Source organism: Homo sapiens, chromosome 12, assembly GCF_000001405.40.
Source record: "Homo sapiens chromosome 12, GRCh38.p14 Primary Assembly".
Taxonomy (NCBI): domain Eukaryota; kingdom Metazoa; phylum Chordata; class Mammalia; order Primates; family Hominidae; genus Homo; species Homo sapiens.
Window position 1 is genome coordinate 115,857,402 of NC_000012.12, and position 13,298 is coordinate 115,870,699.

Here is a 13,298-nt window from a genome sequence, read left to right on the forward strand (position 1 = left end):
GAATCGCAATAGCACCTACAGCACAGAGTGGTTTGGTAATTAAATAAGACCCAATAAGCAGGAATTTGCTCCCCACAGATGCTTGATAAATAGGAGCTGGGTTTTATAACAATTTAATTAATAATATATAGTCATTCATTTTGCAGCTCATCTCATTTGGTTTTGCCAACAGCACTGTGTATAAAGTAAGGCAAGAGTGGTTGCTATCATATCCATTTTACAGAAAACTGAGGCTCAGGAAGGTGAAGTTCATAGGGGCTCCCCATGCAACCAATTCTGGAGCACATAGAAGAGGCTTCCTGGAGCTGATGGTGCCCAACCACCAGAGGGCTCAGACAGAATCCTGGCTCTGCCCCTCACTTGCTGTATGGCATCCTGAGCAAGTTACTTAGGTTTTCTGCGCCTCGAGTTTTGGCATCTATAAAATGGAAACAAACGAAAGCACTGCATCTTAAAATGCTGAAGATGAGATGAATGAATATGTATCAATGACTACAACTAGTGATTCCTTTAAAACGTTAAGTCAGATCCTGTCACTCTTCAGTTCAGACCTTTCCATTGGCTCCCATCTGCTTTGCAATAAAATCCAAAATCCTCACTGCGAATGGCCCATGGAACTTCACATGGCCTGGGTGTCCAGCAACTTTCTCCCTGTTCTCAGCCTTTGGCTCACTCCTCCTCCACCAGCTGGCTTCCTAGCTGCCTGGGGACACACAGAGCTCAGCCCTGCCTCCAGGCCTTAGGACATTTTGTTCCCTCTCTTAGGAACACACTTCCTCGCTCCTCTGTCACCTCTCAAGCCACCCTTCCCTGACCACTTTCCCCATCACCCTCCTTGTCCTGCTGGATTTCTTTCTCATCAGCACTTACGGCTGCCCAACAGACCACACATAGTGTTTATCTGCATATTCATTTCTTGTCCATTGGCCCTGCTCTGAAATGCAAGCTTGATGAGGGCAGGAATAGGCTGTTTTGTGCATCACTGCATCCCCAAGACTTGGAACAATGTCCGGCACCTTGCTGGCCCTCTATAAATGTTAGGTCTCCCAAAAGGCAGGAGACAGGGTCACTACAGGCAATGAACACAGCATAAGCAAAGGCCTGGTGGTGGGGACAGAGCATAATCCAAGCAGGGACCCACACGGAGTTCCTTTGACCTGGTGCTGCCACCCTGGTTAGGGGAAATGGGCTCTGCTTACCACCAAGACACCTTGGACACATGGATTTCTTAGAAGCCCAGTGAAAATGCTTTGGGCTGACTCCTTCTCCGATACTTCCTCATCCCCTGTTCTGTTTGACCCCTCATCCTTTGCCGGGGTCATTGCTGCCTTCATCTGCAGCCCAAGGATAGGGGTACAGGCAGCCAGGGCTGGGGGCCCCTCAGTCCCAACTAGCAGCTTTGGGGGTCTTTGGAAGGCTGGTATCTAACAGAATGAGGGGAAGACTTTGGGAAGGAAGAAACCTCCCCAGGGAAAAGCTACCTTGTACAGAACTCACAGCTCACAGCCATAAAAAGAATAAAAACTAGAAAAGGCTCCATCTCCTTGGCCCCTTTAAGAAAGACACCTTGGGATTCTGGCTGGAGGTCACAGCAGGAAACTGGACATGTACAGAAGGGGCTGCCCGATAAAATAAATAATCATTTATTAAGGTACTTGTCTACACAGCAGGAAATCAGCACAGGGAGTGTGGGTCGGGGAACAGAGCCTCCCTGAAGAAGGCAGCTATCTTTAAAAGGGGGGATCTTGATTTGAAACACTTGTCTCCAGATGGGACCAGTAATCCTCAGCCCTTAGCCTCATTCCAAACCTCCCAAGAAAAGGAATAGCAGTGCACAGCTTTCTAGAACCTTCCAGGGCAGGAAGAAAAACGAAGAATGAAGAGACCTTCTTCAGGCCACCACACTGGCTTCCCCCCAACTTGTGCCCACGAGTTTTGGGCTGGAGCTGAGACGATAGCCTAGCAACATGTTTTATTTCTGCAAAAGGAAGTGATCTTTGAAACGGAGCCACAAGAAGATCTGAAAAGGGATTTCCTGATCACAGCCCTGGGTGAAGCAACTAGGATGGAGCTTCCTCCAAAGCCAGACTGGCTAGGGCACCACTGCTCCCCCTTCTTGAAAGCTTCGTACTTTCTCCTTCCACAGACGCTGTGCAGGATTTTCTCTCTTTGCCTGGAATGTTCTCTCCCTACCACATGCTCCACCACCTCCACCATCCCTTGCATCCCTTGGCCTGGGCAACTTCTTCTCCATCTTTCAGATTTCAGCTGAACCAGGGAAGCCTTCTCTGATCACTTTTTTTTTTTTCCTGAGACGGAGTCTCACTCTGTCGCCCAGGCTGGAGTGCAGTGGGGCAATCTCGGCTCACTGCAAGCTCCGCCTCCCGGGTTCACACCATTCTCCTGCCGCACCCTCCCGAGTAGCTGGGAATACAGGCGCCCGCCACCACGCCCAGCTAATTTTTTTGTATTTTTTTAGTAGAGACGGGGTTTCACCGTGTTAGCCAGGATGGTCTCGATCTCCTGACCTCGTGATCCGCCCACCTTGGCCTCCCAAAGTGCTGGGATTACAGGGGTGAGCCACAGCGCCCGGCCTCTGATCACTCATAAGCAACCAGCTGAGCTGCTACATATGGGCTCTCGCATACCCACCACCCCCACAGCGCCAAATTGTGTATTGCTCAGTGCTTATCATGGCTGGCACTGCACACTTTATATGGATGCAATAGTTTATTGCATCTCTTCTCCACTGCTTCAGTTGTACCTAACACTATAGCCACAATGCATGACACATGGTAGTCCCTCAATGAAGATGTGTTGAATTAATGAACAAATTGACCTTTGGGAAAAATATATCAGTATACTTCAGTCTCCTAGTTAAGTGTCCAAACACTTGAATGTATGCATGAATGAGGGATGAATAAATGAGCAAGTGAATGAATGAGCAAATGAATAAATGAGCGGGTGAGTGAATGAGTGAGTTATTGAATGAATGAGTGAATGAGTAACATAGTGACTGCATGAGTGAAGGGGGAAGTAAAAGAGCGAATGAATAAGTGAATGACAATGGCTTCCTTGAGGGTGGTCCTATTAGTTAATGCCTTTTTTCGGTCTCTCCTTTTCTCTGTATGCAGAGAAACAGATAGAAGAGGCTGGCATGAATGTGACTCTAACCAAAACATGTGGCAAGGGAAGGAGGGCATTTCCCAAAGGGGCACCTGGTGGTGGGGGGCAGGGGGATGCTTCCAGGCAGAAGCTGACCCCCAAGGGGCAGCTCTGTCCCTGACCCCTTTCACCTTCCCTTGTTCTGATCTTTATGGGGCCGTCTGCCTTTTAGCATCAAAGGAGACAGCAGGTCCGTGACTTGTCCCACAGCAGCTCTATAAAAATGTAATTACCCAATAACCTGCTGTCTGCAAAACAAACCATCTTCCTGTTTCTTCTCCCATAAAAAGCATTTGACAGCCCTGTTCTATCAGCTTATAAAACCTGGAAAGAGTTGGCTTAGACCCCTCTGAAATGAAAACCCTTAGCGGGGAAGAGTCCCAAGTTGGGAGAAACACACCTCTGACCCTCCAGGCAGTTGCTTCAAAGTCACTGGAGGTTTTCAGAGAAGGCAAAGACAGCAACCTATCTTGGAAAAATGGAGGACTGGATAATGCAAATCACACCTAAAAAGGGCAAAAGCCTTGGAAACTCTAAGAGCCCAGGCCTGCTGTGGGCACAGGCAGCATCATTGTATCTCACCAGAAAGTCATTCCTTCATTTATTCACTCAATAAACATTTATCGGGCACCTGCGACATGCTAGGCATTAGGCTAGGCCCTGAGGGTAAGACTCTAGTGTAATAAGTGCTGGTCCTTTAAGAAACTCACATCTAAAATATACATTTATTTTAAATAATGGAGCACTTTGATCTGAATTTATTGACATGTAAAAAGTGCATATAATCCATGATTACATGGGTGAGGCAGGTTATAAAACAGTAAGTGGTGATGGATACATAACATCAAAAATGTACTTAATGCCACTGAATTGTACACTTAAAATGGTAAGTTTTATGTTACATATATTTTACCAATATCTACATTGGTAGATTTTGATTGATATGGCTACGTTGACAGATATGGCTTCATTTTGACTTTTTTTCATTGAAAGGGAAACAGAATGGAACTGGGAGGTGGTGATAAAATTATTCTATATCTTGACTGTGAAGCTATCTAGTGGGTTCATGTGTTCCCCACAAAGATATGTCCAAGTCCTACCCTCTAATGTCTGTGAACATGACCTGATTCGGAAATAGGGACTTTGCAAGTGTAACTAAGGCAAGGATCAAGATGAGATTATACTTGGATTGAGGATGGTCCTAAACCCAATGAGACTGTCCTTGCAGAGAAAGGAGAGGGGGATTTGACACACATAGGAAAAGAGGTCCCGTGAACAGGAAGGTGGAGATTGGCCTGATGTGGCCACAAACCGGGGAATGCCTGAAGCCATCAGGAGCTGGAAGACACAAGGAACAGCAACTGCGGGAAACTAACCCAGACTGTCTACCAGACAGCATGCTTTCATCACAGAACTGTTCACTAACAAGGGTAGCTTTGCTGTATTCAAATTATACTTTGATTTTTAAAATATCTTTTAAATAGAAACAGAGGGATTGAACAGACATTTCTGGTGTTTCTAATACTTGTTTTACCGTGAATATACATTGTATAAGGAGTTCATGGTCTGATGAGTGAGACAGGTAAGAAAATTGACAATTGTAGGATATGAGAGCTGGAGCATCTAAATCAGACTGGGGAGGGGGTTCCATGAAAGCGTTCCCAGAAAGAGGACACTGATCAGAAGGAAGCTGAGCAAAGAAGTGAGGGTGGAGGAGAGAGGGCATTCCAGGTACAATGGGCATTGAAAGTGCCTGCATCTTACTAACCAAGCGACCGGGTCAGCAAAGTCACACAGCTTCAAGTTCCTCAGCCCTAAAAATGGTGACCATAATCCTTAATATCTCATAAGCTTATGGGATGATTAAGGGAGGCAATATGTATATAAGACTCCACAGAGTCTGATATGGATTAAGTACTGGAAAATGCCAGTTATCGTCACTATCAGTATTAGCATAATCAGCTGCAGCCAGATTGGTGGGTTAGAATCTTGGCCTGGCCACTTGCCGTGTGTCCTCGGATCAGCTATTTAACCTTTCTGTGCCTCAGTTTCCTATTCTGTAAAATAAGGATAAATAATGGTATTTGTGCCTTAGGGTATTGTGAGGATTATACGAGTTAATACCTATAAATCAATTACAACAGCACCTGGCATATGGCAAAGACTATATAAGAATTAGCTATTATATTTTGTCATGACTATAAAGGAAAGGAAACGTCTGGAAACAGTACAAAAGAGAAGTGGAATGGCCAAACGTGCTTGGGGAAAGAGCAGTGTAAGAATCATCTTCATGGAAAAAAAAAAAAGCAAATAAAGCCTTTGAAAAAAAAAACAAAGGGAAATCACAAATCTGAAAATAAAGTGTCTTATGATGATGGGGTTACATTTTGGACCAAGATATTTTTAGCTAACAAAATCGAGTTAAAATGGATTTTGACAGAGTGAAAAGATGTGGGAAATGCATAAAGGAGTCACGCTTGAAAGGCTGAAGGTAAATCAGCCTCTTTGTTAGGGAAAGTTTCACTGCGTTCAACATTTGGAATTGATGACTTTGGTGGTTTCCTTTGGGGAAGAAAATATCCTGACATTTCCTGGTAAGTCTTCCTTCCTACCTTCTCGGCCTTAATGATATTCTCTATCAGCCTAATGTCCCTGCTTGAGCATTGATGGCTGTGTGGACACAGATAATATCCAGAATATTAGCAGTTTGGAAGGCTCAGAGCAGCATCCACCACCTTCATAAAGACGCAGGCAACATTACCGCATAAGCACCTCTTAACGTGCAGTCACAAATCACTGCTCAACAAATTCCAGAATTTCAAAGCTGTGGCATAAATTTCCAAGCCAGAAAAACAGCATGCGAGCCTTAAGTGCTGGGTTTCAACCCTCTAGACTCCCTGGAACCACTGTCTGAGGTTCTGGCAGCATCAATATGGCCCTTTCAGCCTTCTAAGGAATATGAATGGTGTGTTAAGCCAATGAGAGACAGCATGTAGTCTTTGAATGGAAGCCACAGTGTGTACACCAAGGCTCTTGGCTCTGCTTTGAAATTTTGAATAGCAAATCCCTGCTCAATCCTCTGCATTATCGTCTTTTAAATGGGTGTAGCAATTTTTATCCTGACATAGAATAGAAGGTCTTAAACTCTTTGGGGGTAAAGGGGATGGGGTGAGTAAAAAAAAAACAAAAAAACTATGAATATTGGGATTTTATTTTGCCTTTGAGGGAAATCTTTAGAAACATCATTTTACCCATTAGTAATACATTCAGCTCCAAGTAATAAGAATGCCTCACTATATGCTTTAATTTAATAGTCCTTTCTTACATAATAAGAATTCCAGAAGTGGTCAGCTTCATGTTCAGGTTCGGCAGCTCAGCCACATCTTGACCAATATTTTGACAAAACAGTTGCTGCAGTTCCAGCCATCACATCCAAATTCAAGACAGGAAAAAAATGGAAGGGGAAAGTGCTGCATCTGTCCCTTTTTCCAGGACAATAAATTTTTTTTTCCCAGAACATTTTGCAACAGACCTTTTGGACAGAGCTGGGTCATATACCATCTCAGATGCAAGGAAAGCTTGGAAATTAGATAACAGAACTTTGACCGATTATAATCCATAGCCTGGGTCTGGGCTCAGTGCTGCTCTGAACAAAACCTGGATCCTCTTACAAAGGGGAAAGGGCAATGGATATAAGGCAGGCAATGAACAGTCTGCCCAACTCTTCAATCCCAACATGCACACAACTTCAGTGATCAGAAAAGGTAATCAAAAAAAAAAAAAAAAAGAAAAACAGAAGAAAAGAACCTGAGGCAAAAATAATAACAACGCAACACTATTCATTTCTTGAAGGGAAACTGATAAACCTTATATGTGTTGGCCTGATACCAGGATACATTTTTAAAACTTGTGAAAGTGAAAGCAGTATCTGTAGAGATGTTCTGAAATAATTCCAACGGGTGAACAGTCAGATTCCAAGCTTCTCGTCTAATTGGCATGAATAAGTCTCACTGAATTACTCTGATGGGAAAGGATATTTTCCCAATTCAAAGCACCCACAGTGAAACATGAGAGAAACTTGGCATAATCTTTCCAGTCAGTGGATATGTATTGGGCAAAGCAGACATGGTTCCTACACTCACAGAGCAAACAGTCTAGCAAGGCAGATGAAGAATCACATAGACAAACACAATGCTATAAACTAGCACTCTACTAAGTGCTATGAAACTTAACAGGGTGCTCGGAGGCAGAAAAGCCTAACTGAAGCTGGATAGGATCAGGACGATGATCTAGAAGCACAAGCTTCAGAACCAGGTCTGGGTCAACTTCCCAATATGCCACCACGCCCAAGACCAGTGAACTTGGACCGTAATAAAAATAAGAATTGACTAAGCACGGATCATGCATTAAACACCACACTCAGCTGTTCAATCACCATGACAAAAGTTTGAGGTTACCTAGTCCCATTTTAACAAGAGGATGATCGGGGATAGAAATTCACCTACCTGAGGTCACAGAATTGGTAACTGGAGTAAGTTGGTATGACCCTGTGTTACTCCTTCTGCGAAAGCTAAAGCCGTGCAAACTCCCTACGTCTCAGGTTCTCACATGTGCAGATATCAGGCTGGTAGATGAAATTAGGTGAAATGATCCATGGGCAGCAGTGAGCACCATGCCTGGCACACAGCAAGTGTGCAATAACCGACAACTATTATTCAAACTCTGAGTTTCTGAGATTCATCTGATCATTTCTTCAAGTCCTCTTGGCCTGGGAAGTCTGAATCCAGCCATGCCAACTGATCGATCTTCACAGGGGCTTTGAGATCTCAGGGGTCAAAGAGACTGGAAAATCCATTCTTTTTCTTTCTATGCAAATCAGGAAACACTTAGGTTAATAGCTAACAAAAATAAATCAGAATAATGAGAGCTTTAGTTCAAAATTTTTAAAAACACAAAACAATTACCAGATCTCTTAAAATGAATAGCAGTCAGGTAAGTTCTCAAAATTAGACCCAAAGACTTTTGCTTGTTTTGAACCATGAAGAAATTTTTCAAGAGATGAAATTGAGGACATATATCTTGAATCATTTGGGGATCGAGGGACTCATTAAGCCATGTCAATAAGAGGAGTTATTTAAGCAAATGGATAAAAGCCATTTATTATTTAGCACTTTATATTTGTAAAGGGCTGATCCATTTTCTCTAGCCCTACCTGCTCCTGACCCCACATTACTTATGAATTTTTTCAGAGCTTCTCACTGATGAACAGGCATCCTTCAGTGCCTGAAATGAACAGGTATTACCATTTTACAGATAAAAAGGGTGAGGCAAAGAACAAAGCCCTCAAATGAGAAGACTGGAGCAAAGCATGGTTTACCCCTGTTTATCAGCTAAGGAAATGAAAGCAGAGACCGACTGGGAGATTGAGCTGAACCTAGGTAAACTTGCCCGAGATCAGCCAAGATGGCAACCCACACATTCTGCTCTCGGGGTCCACAGACTCAGATAGCCCTGCTCAGGAAATCAGAGTTTCATCAAGTTCAGAGGATAATGAATACCAACAACAATACCAGCAATAAGAATTTTTTTTATTATACTTTAAGTTTTAGAGTACATGTGCACAATGTGCAGGTTTGTTACATACGTATATATGTGCCATGTTGGTGTGCTGCACCCATTAACTCATCATTTAACATTAGGTGTATCTCCTAATGCTATCCCTCCCCGCTCCCCCCACCCCACAACAGGCCCCGGTGTATGATGTTCCCCTTCCTGTGTCCATGTGTTCTCATTGTTCAATTCCCACCACCTATGAGTGAGAACATGTGGTGTTTGGTTTTTTGTCCTTGCAATAGTTTGCTGAGAATGATGGTTTCCAGCTTCATCCATGTCCCTACAAAGGACACGAACTCATCATTTTTTATGGCTGCATAGTATTCCATGGTGTATATGTGCCACATTTTCTTAATCCAGTCTATCATTGTTGGACCAGCAATAAGAATTCTAAAAGCTACTGTTCCTTATTGAGCCCTTACTATGCCAGGCACTGGGCTAAGCCCTTTGTATTCACTGCCTCTTGGATACTCCAACAACCTTATGAGTTAAATACTATATATTATCATAAACCCCAACTTTACAGATGAATAAGATGATGCACGAGATAATATGTAACTTGCTCAGCATTCCACGAAGCAGCAGCTGCAGAATGAGCATTTGAACCCAAGCGCTCTCAAACCTGTGACTACATTTCAGGGGGGTTGAAAGGGTTGCAGGAATTCCAGAAGCTTTTGCCATCCAGCCAAGCCCTTATTAACTTCAGGAAAAAAAAATAACTGTGAGATCTACAGATGTTTTAGGAAGGTGAGCAAAGGAGTCAGGGCTCCAAGTTGTCACCGTGTGTTGGGAGCTTCCTATTTACCACCAATACGCACAGCACACCAAACACTTGCCCTTATTCAGTGCTCCTGGCAGCCCTATGAGGAGGGAGGAGGGATCCCCATTCCACCTGACAGATGAGGAATTTGAAGGTCAGAAAAGTTGCCTTAACCAGCAGATGGCAGCGCCACATTCAACATCATGCCATCTCGCTTCTGTAAAGAAAATTTAGGTAGCTTTGCAATACCCTTTCAAACCACTCCTGCCATGCAGAGAAATCTGGAGGGAACTCATATCTCTATAAAAATAATGAGTAGGAACTTGGAAAGACTCAAATTTCCCATCAGAGTCCCAAGCCTGTTCCTCTGGCTCCCAGCCTAGCTGTTGCCAGTCTCCCAGGAGTCCTGAAAACCTCGGTGGTTCTGGGACACTGTGTTAGTGTGTGTGTTAGTTCAGGTCCTCTGAGAAACAGATGCCAGGCAGGACCACACTTACAAGGATTGTACAGAGGGAAATGCTTGTGTGAGGGAAAATGAAAAGGGAGCTGGAAGAAGCTGGCAGAGCCGTCAGACTGAGATAGATGCATGTCCAACCTGGAGTGAAGGGGAGGTAGGACAGAGGCCTCCAAGACTGATGTGCAGTCCGGAGATAGATCTGCAAGGCCCTTGGGGAGTCCCAGAGCAAACTCACTGCTGGAGGAGTCCCGTGTCTCCCAGAAACAGGGCCTGCCTTCACATCCCTCCTCACTCAGTCTTTGGCTTGGAGCAAACAGTGGGAGGCCAGGCCTGGCAACAAAAAGCCATGGGTGTCAGAGTAGCAGCTGGTGCCCTTGTAAAATCACACTCCCTGTAGTAGGAGGTTGGTGAGGCACAGACATTTTCAAGGCTCACAGGAACTCAAGGCAGGTGAGTGTCCCCAGGGCTGCTCCAACCCAACCTCCATGCTGGGGTGACACTGTCGTCCAACTACCTTGGGGACTGGCAAAGTCCCACTGAGGTAGAAGTCAAGACTCAACTCCAGAGGCAGGGCTCAGACATGGAACCAAATTGAGGACTAGCTAAAACAGAGACAGGGTGGAAGCCCTTTTCCATAAGACACGCCCACTAGTGTGCCATGTCAGTTTACCATTGCCATAGCAACACTCAGAAGTTACCACCCCTTTCCGTGAAGTAACTGACCTGACAATCCAGAAGTGACCACTCTTTCTAGAAATTTCTGCATAATCTGCCCCTTAATTTGCATATAATATAATTGCATATAATTAAAAACGGGCATAAACATGACTGCAGAACTGCCCCTGAGCTGCTACTGTGGGCATACTGCCTGTGAGGTAGCCCTCTTCTGCAAGGATCTCTGCTGCTGCTGTACACTGCTGCCTCAATAAAAGTTGCTGACACCACGGGCTCATCCTTGAATTCTTTCCTGGGTGAAGCCAAGAACTCTCCTGAGCTAAGCCCCAGTTTTGGGGCTTGCCTGCCCTGCATCACCACCTGTGACCTCCCAGCTGCCAGTGGAGAAGGATGAGTGCCTGCATCTGGAAGATGACATGTAGACCACCCCTACAATGGGCAGTTCATGCTGGAAGCAGCTGGACCCAGTCCCTGGTCCTGGAGGTGGGAGGAGGAAAGGGAAGTGAAAGAATAGAGAAAGCCTTGCAGGGTCCTATGTCCAAAGCAACCTGGATACATGAGTCTCCCTGTCAACAGGTTGCTTCTCTCACGCCGAGCATGTTGATGCACATGGTAGAGAGCCAGCCTGCATCTCCGTGGAGGTCATCCTGAAGTGAGGTCTGATACTCCAGTGGTTAAGAACTTAGGCACTGAGTCAGACCAACACGGATTTGAATTCTCACCTCCACTACTTACTCCGTGGGTGGCCTTGGGGAAGATAAAGTCACCTTGCTGGGCCTTAGTTTATTCATCTGTAAAATGGGTTCAACACCACCTCCCACGGTTGTTGTGGAAAATAAAAGAGAGAAAGTTTGTAAAGTGGTTAGCCCTTCCCCTGCCCCACTGTCCTCATCCAATAAATGCTAGTCTAAGTTCCATTCTCACATTAAGAAATGAAAAAATAACCACCTTATAGAATTGTAAAAATGGAGGGAGGTAATGTATATTAAACAATTAGCACAGAAACTGGCACATGGACGCTACTATAATCATTTTGGTATCATAAATAATAACCAAGATAATTATCTCCTGACAGAGCTATCGGCTGGGGCCAGATGGACCCTCTAAGTGTGTCAAAGTTCGATCAGGTCAGCATCCCAACTGGAAGCAGATAACAGACTCAAACTGGATAATGTCAAGGAGGCACTGTTTACAAAGCTGTGGGTGGAGTGTGGGGAAAACACAGAGGATAGTGAAGCACCACAGAGCTGCTGCCAGTGTGAACTGTTACCATCCCAAAGGCCTGCGGGGCAAGGGCAGGGAGCAGTTCCCTCCGGAGGAGGCTGTCTGCAGAGAGGCTGCTTACCAGGGACTGTGACCTTAAGCTGAGGGACACAGCAACCCCAACAGCAAGGGAGCTAGGGGGTCCATGCCTAACCCTACTCTCCCGCCAAGGCTCCCATTGGCCAAGGCCACCAGAAAGCCAGGGGCTCAGGGACTGGTCTGTGAAGTGACAGAGGTCAGCACCCCACGGCAGGGAGCTGGATGGAGAAGGGTGGACAGTGAATCTGGAGGGGAAAATGGGAGACACTCAGCTCATTATCGGAATCAGCTGGGTAATGCTGGCTGCTTGGGGACCCCAAACCCTGAAACTCCCATGCCCCCCCCATTCTCAAGTTTGTGACCAACAGTAGTAATCTAGTGATAGTTCTGGCAATGGCAAATGCTCAGCATGTAAAAGTACAAGGGCTTGCGCAAGAACATACAAGCAACATGCACTGAGCACCTATAACATAAGAGTCCCAGTGAACAGGCCACACAAAGTTCCTGCCCTTCCAGATCACAGAGTGGCGTGGAGCACACAGACAAGTAGACAGGCAATGGCAGAGTCGTGGGACAGAGAAAGCCCGGAGACAGTTGTGGGGACTCACAGCAAAGAAAACCAGGAACACCTCCGGGAGAAAGGGGAGCCTACACAGGATGGGAAGGAAGAGAGGAGAAGAGGTCAAGTGAAGAAGGTCAAGGTCCTGGGGGCAAGAGGGAGTGGGGCTTAAAGTAGCTTTAAATAGCTCATCTGGCTGGAGTGCAGCATTTGAGGCAAAAGTGGTGAGAGATGAGCCTGGACAGGAAGGCTGGGGCCAGGTCACATAGGGCCTCGGGGAGAGAGAGAGAGAGAGAGAGAGAGAGGGAAGGGACGCACATGTGTTGGAAGGGATCAAGTGAACAGGAATGGAGCTCTGCTTGGAACCCAGAGATGGGGTGGGAGTGTGTCTAGTATCTAATTTCTGCTGGCATGAGCAGCCGGGAGAAGCACATGTATGACCTGACCTGGGAGGTCAAAGTGACCCACAAACAGGTGAACACCCCGATCCTTCTATTTCCAATCAGGAGGTTGTTTTCAGAGCTCAGCAGCTTCCTCCCCTCTACCAAATCCACCCACAGTCATAATCTCCCAAATATCTTCCCCCCTTACCTCCCCTTGCAGAACCAAGAGCTCACCCAGCTGCCAAAAGGCAGCAGATGGAGACAAGTTGGAGGTGGTGGTGGGGGGAGGGGTGGGGCGGGGCGGGGCGGGAAGAATACTTCAGGACTCTGAAGATGACACAACACAGCTTACTCAGGAGACAGAAATGTGATCTGTCCTCCTGG

General features: G+C 45.7%; 1 long non-coding RNA gene across 1 annotated transcript in view, besides 2 other annotated features; it reads right to left on the reverse strand.

Moving 5' to 3' along the window:
- Positions 1–13,298, reverse strand: part of LINC02463 (long intergenic non-protein coding RNA 2463) — an 80,288-nt gene that overhangs the window by 51,419 nt on the left and 15,571 nt on the right. The window contains exon 2 of the long non-coding RNA XR_001749337.2: positions 7,671–8,031. This is a non-coding gene — a long non-coding RNA (long intergenic non-protein coding RNA 2463). The remainder of the gene's footprint in view (positions 1–7,670; positions 8,032–13,298) is intronic.
- Positions 11,580–12,080: an enhancer, noted in NCBI's record as "H3K4me1 hESC enhancer chr12:116306786-116307286 (GRCh37/hg19 assembly coordinates)". NCBI's record gives its function as "activates a minimal SCP1, AML or CMV promoter by ChIP-STARR-seq in primed H9 embryonic stem cells {active_cell/tissue: H9 hESC(primed)}" and the evidence as "EXISTENCE:reporter gene assay evidence [ECO:0000049][PMID:30033119]".
- Positions 12,081–12,581: an enhancer, noted in NCBI's record as "H3K4me1 hESC enhancer chr12:116307287-116307787 (GRCh37/hg19 assembly coordinates)". NCBI's record gives its function as "activates a minimal SCP1, AML or CMV promoter by ChIP-STARR-seq in primed H9 embryonic stem cells {active_cell/tissue: H9 hESC(primed)}" and the evidence as "EXISTENCE:reporter gene assay evidence [ECO:0000049][PMID:30033119]".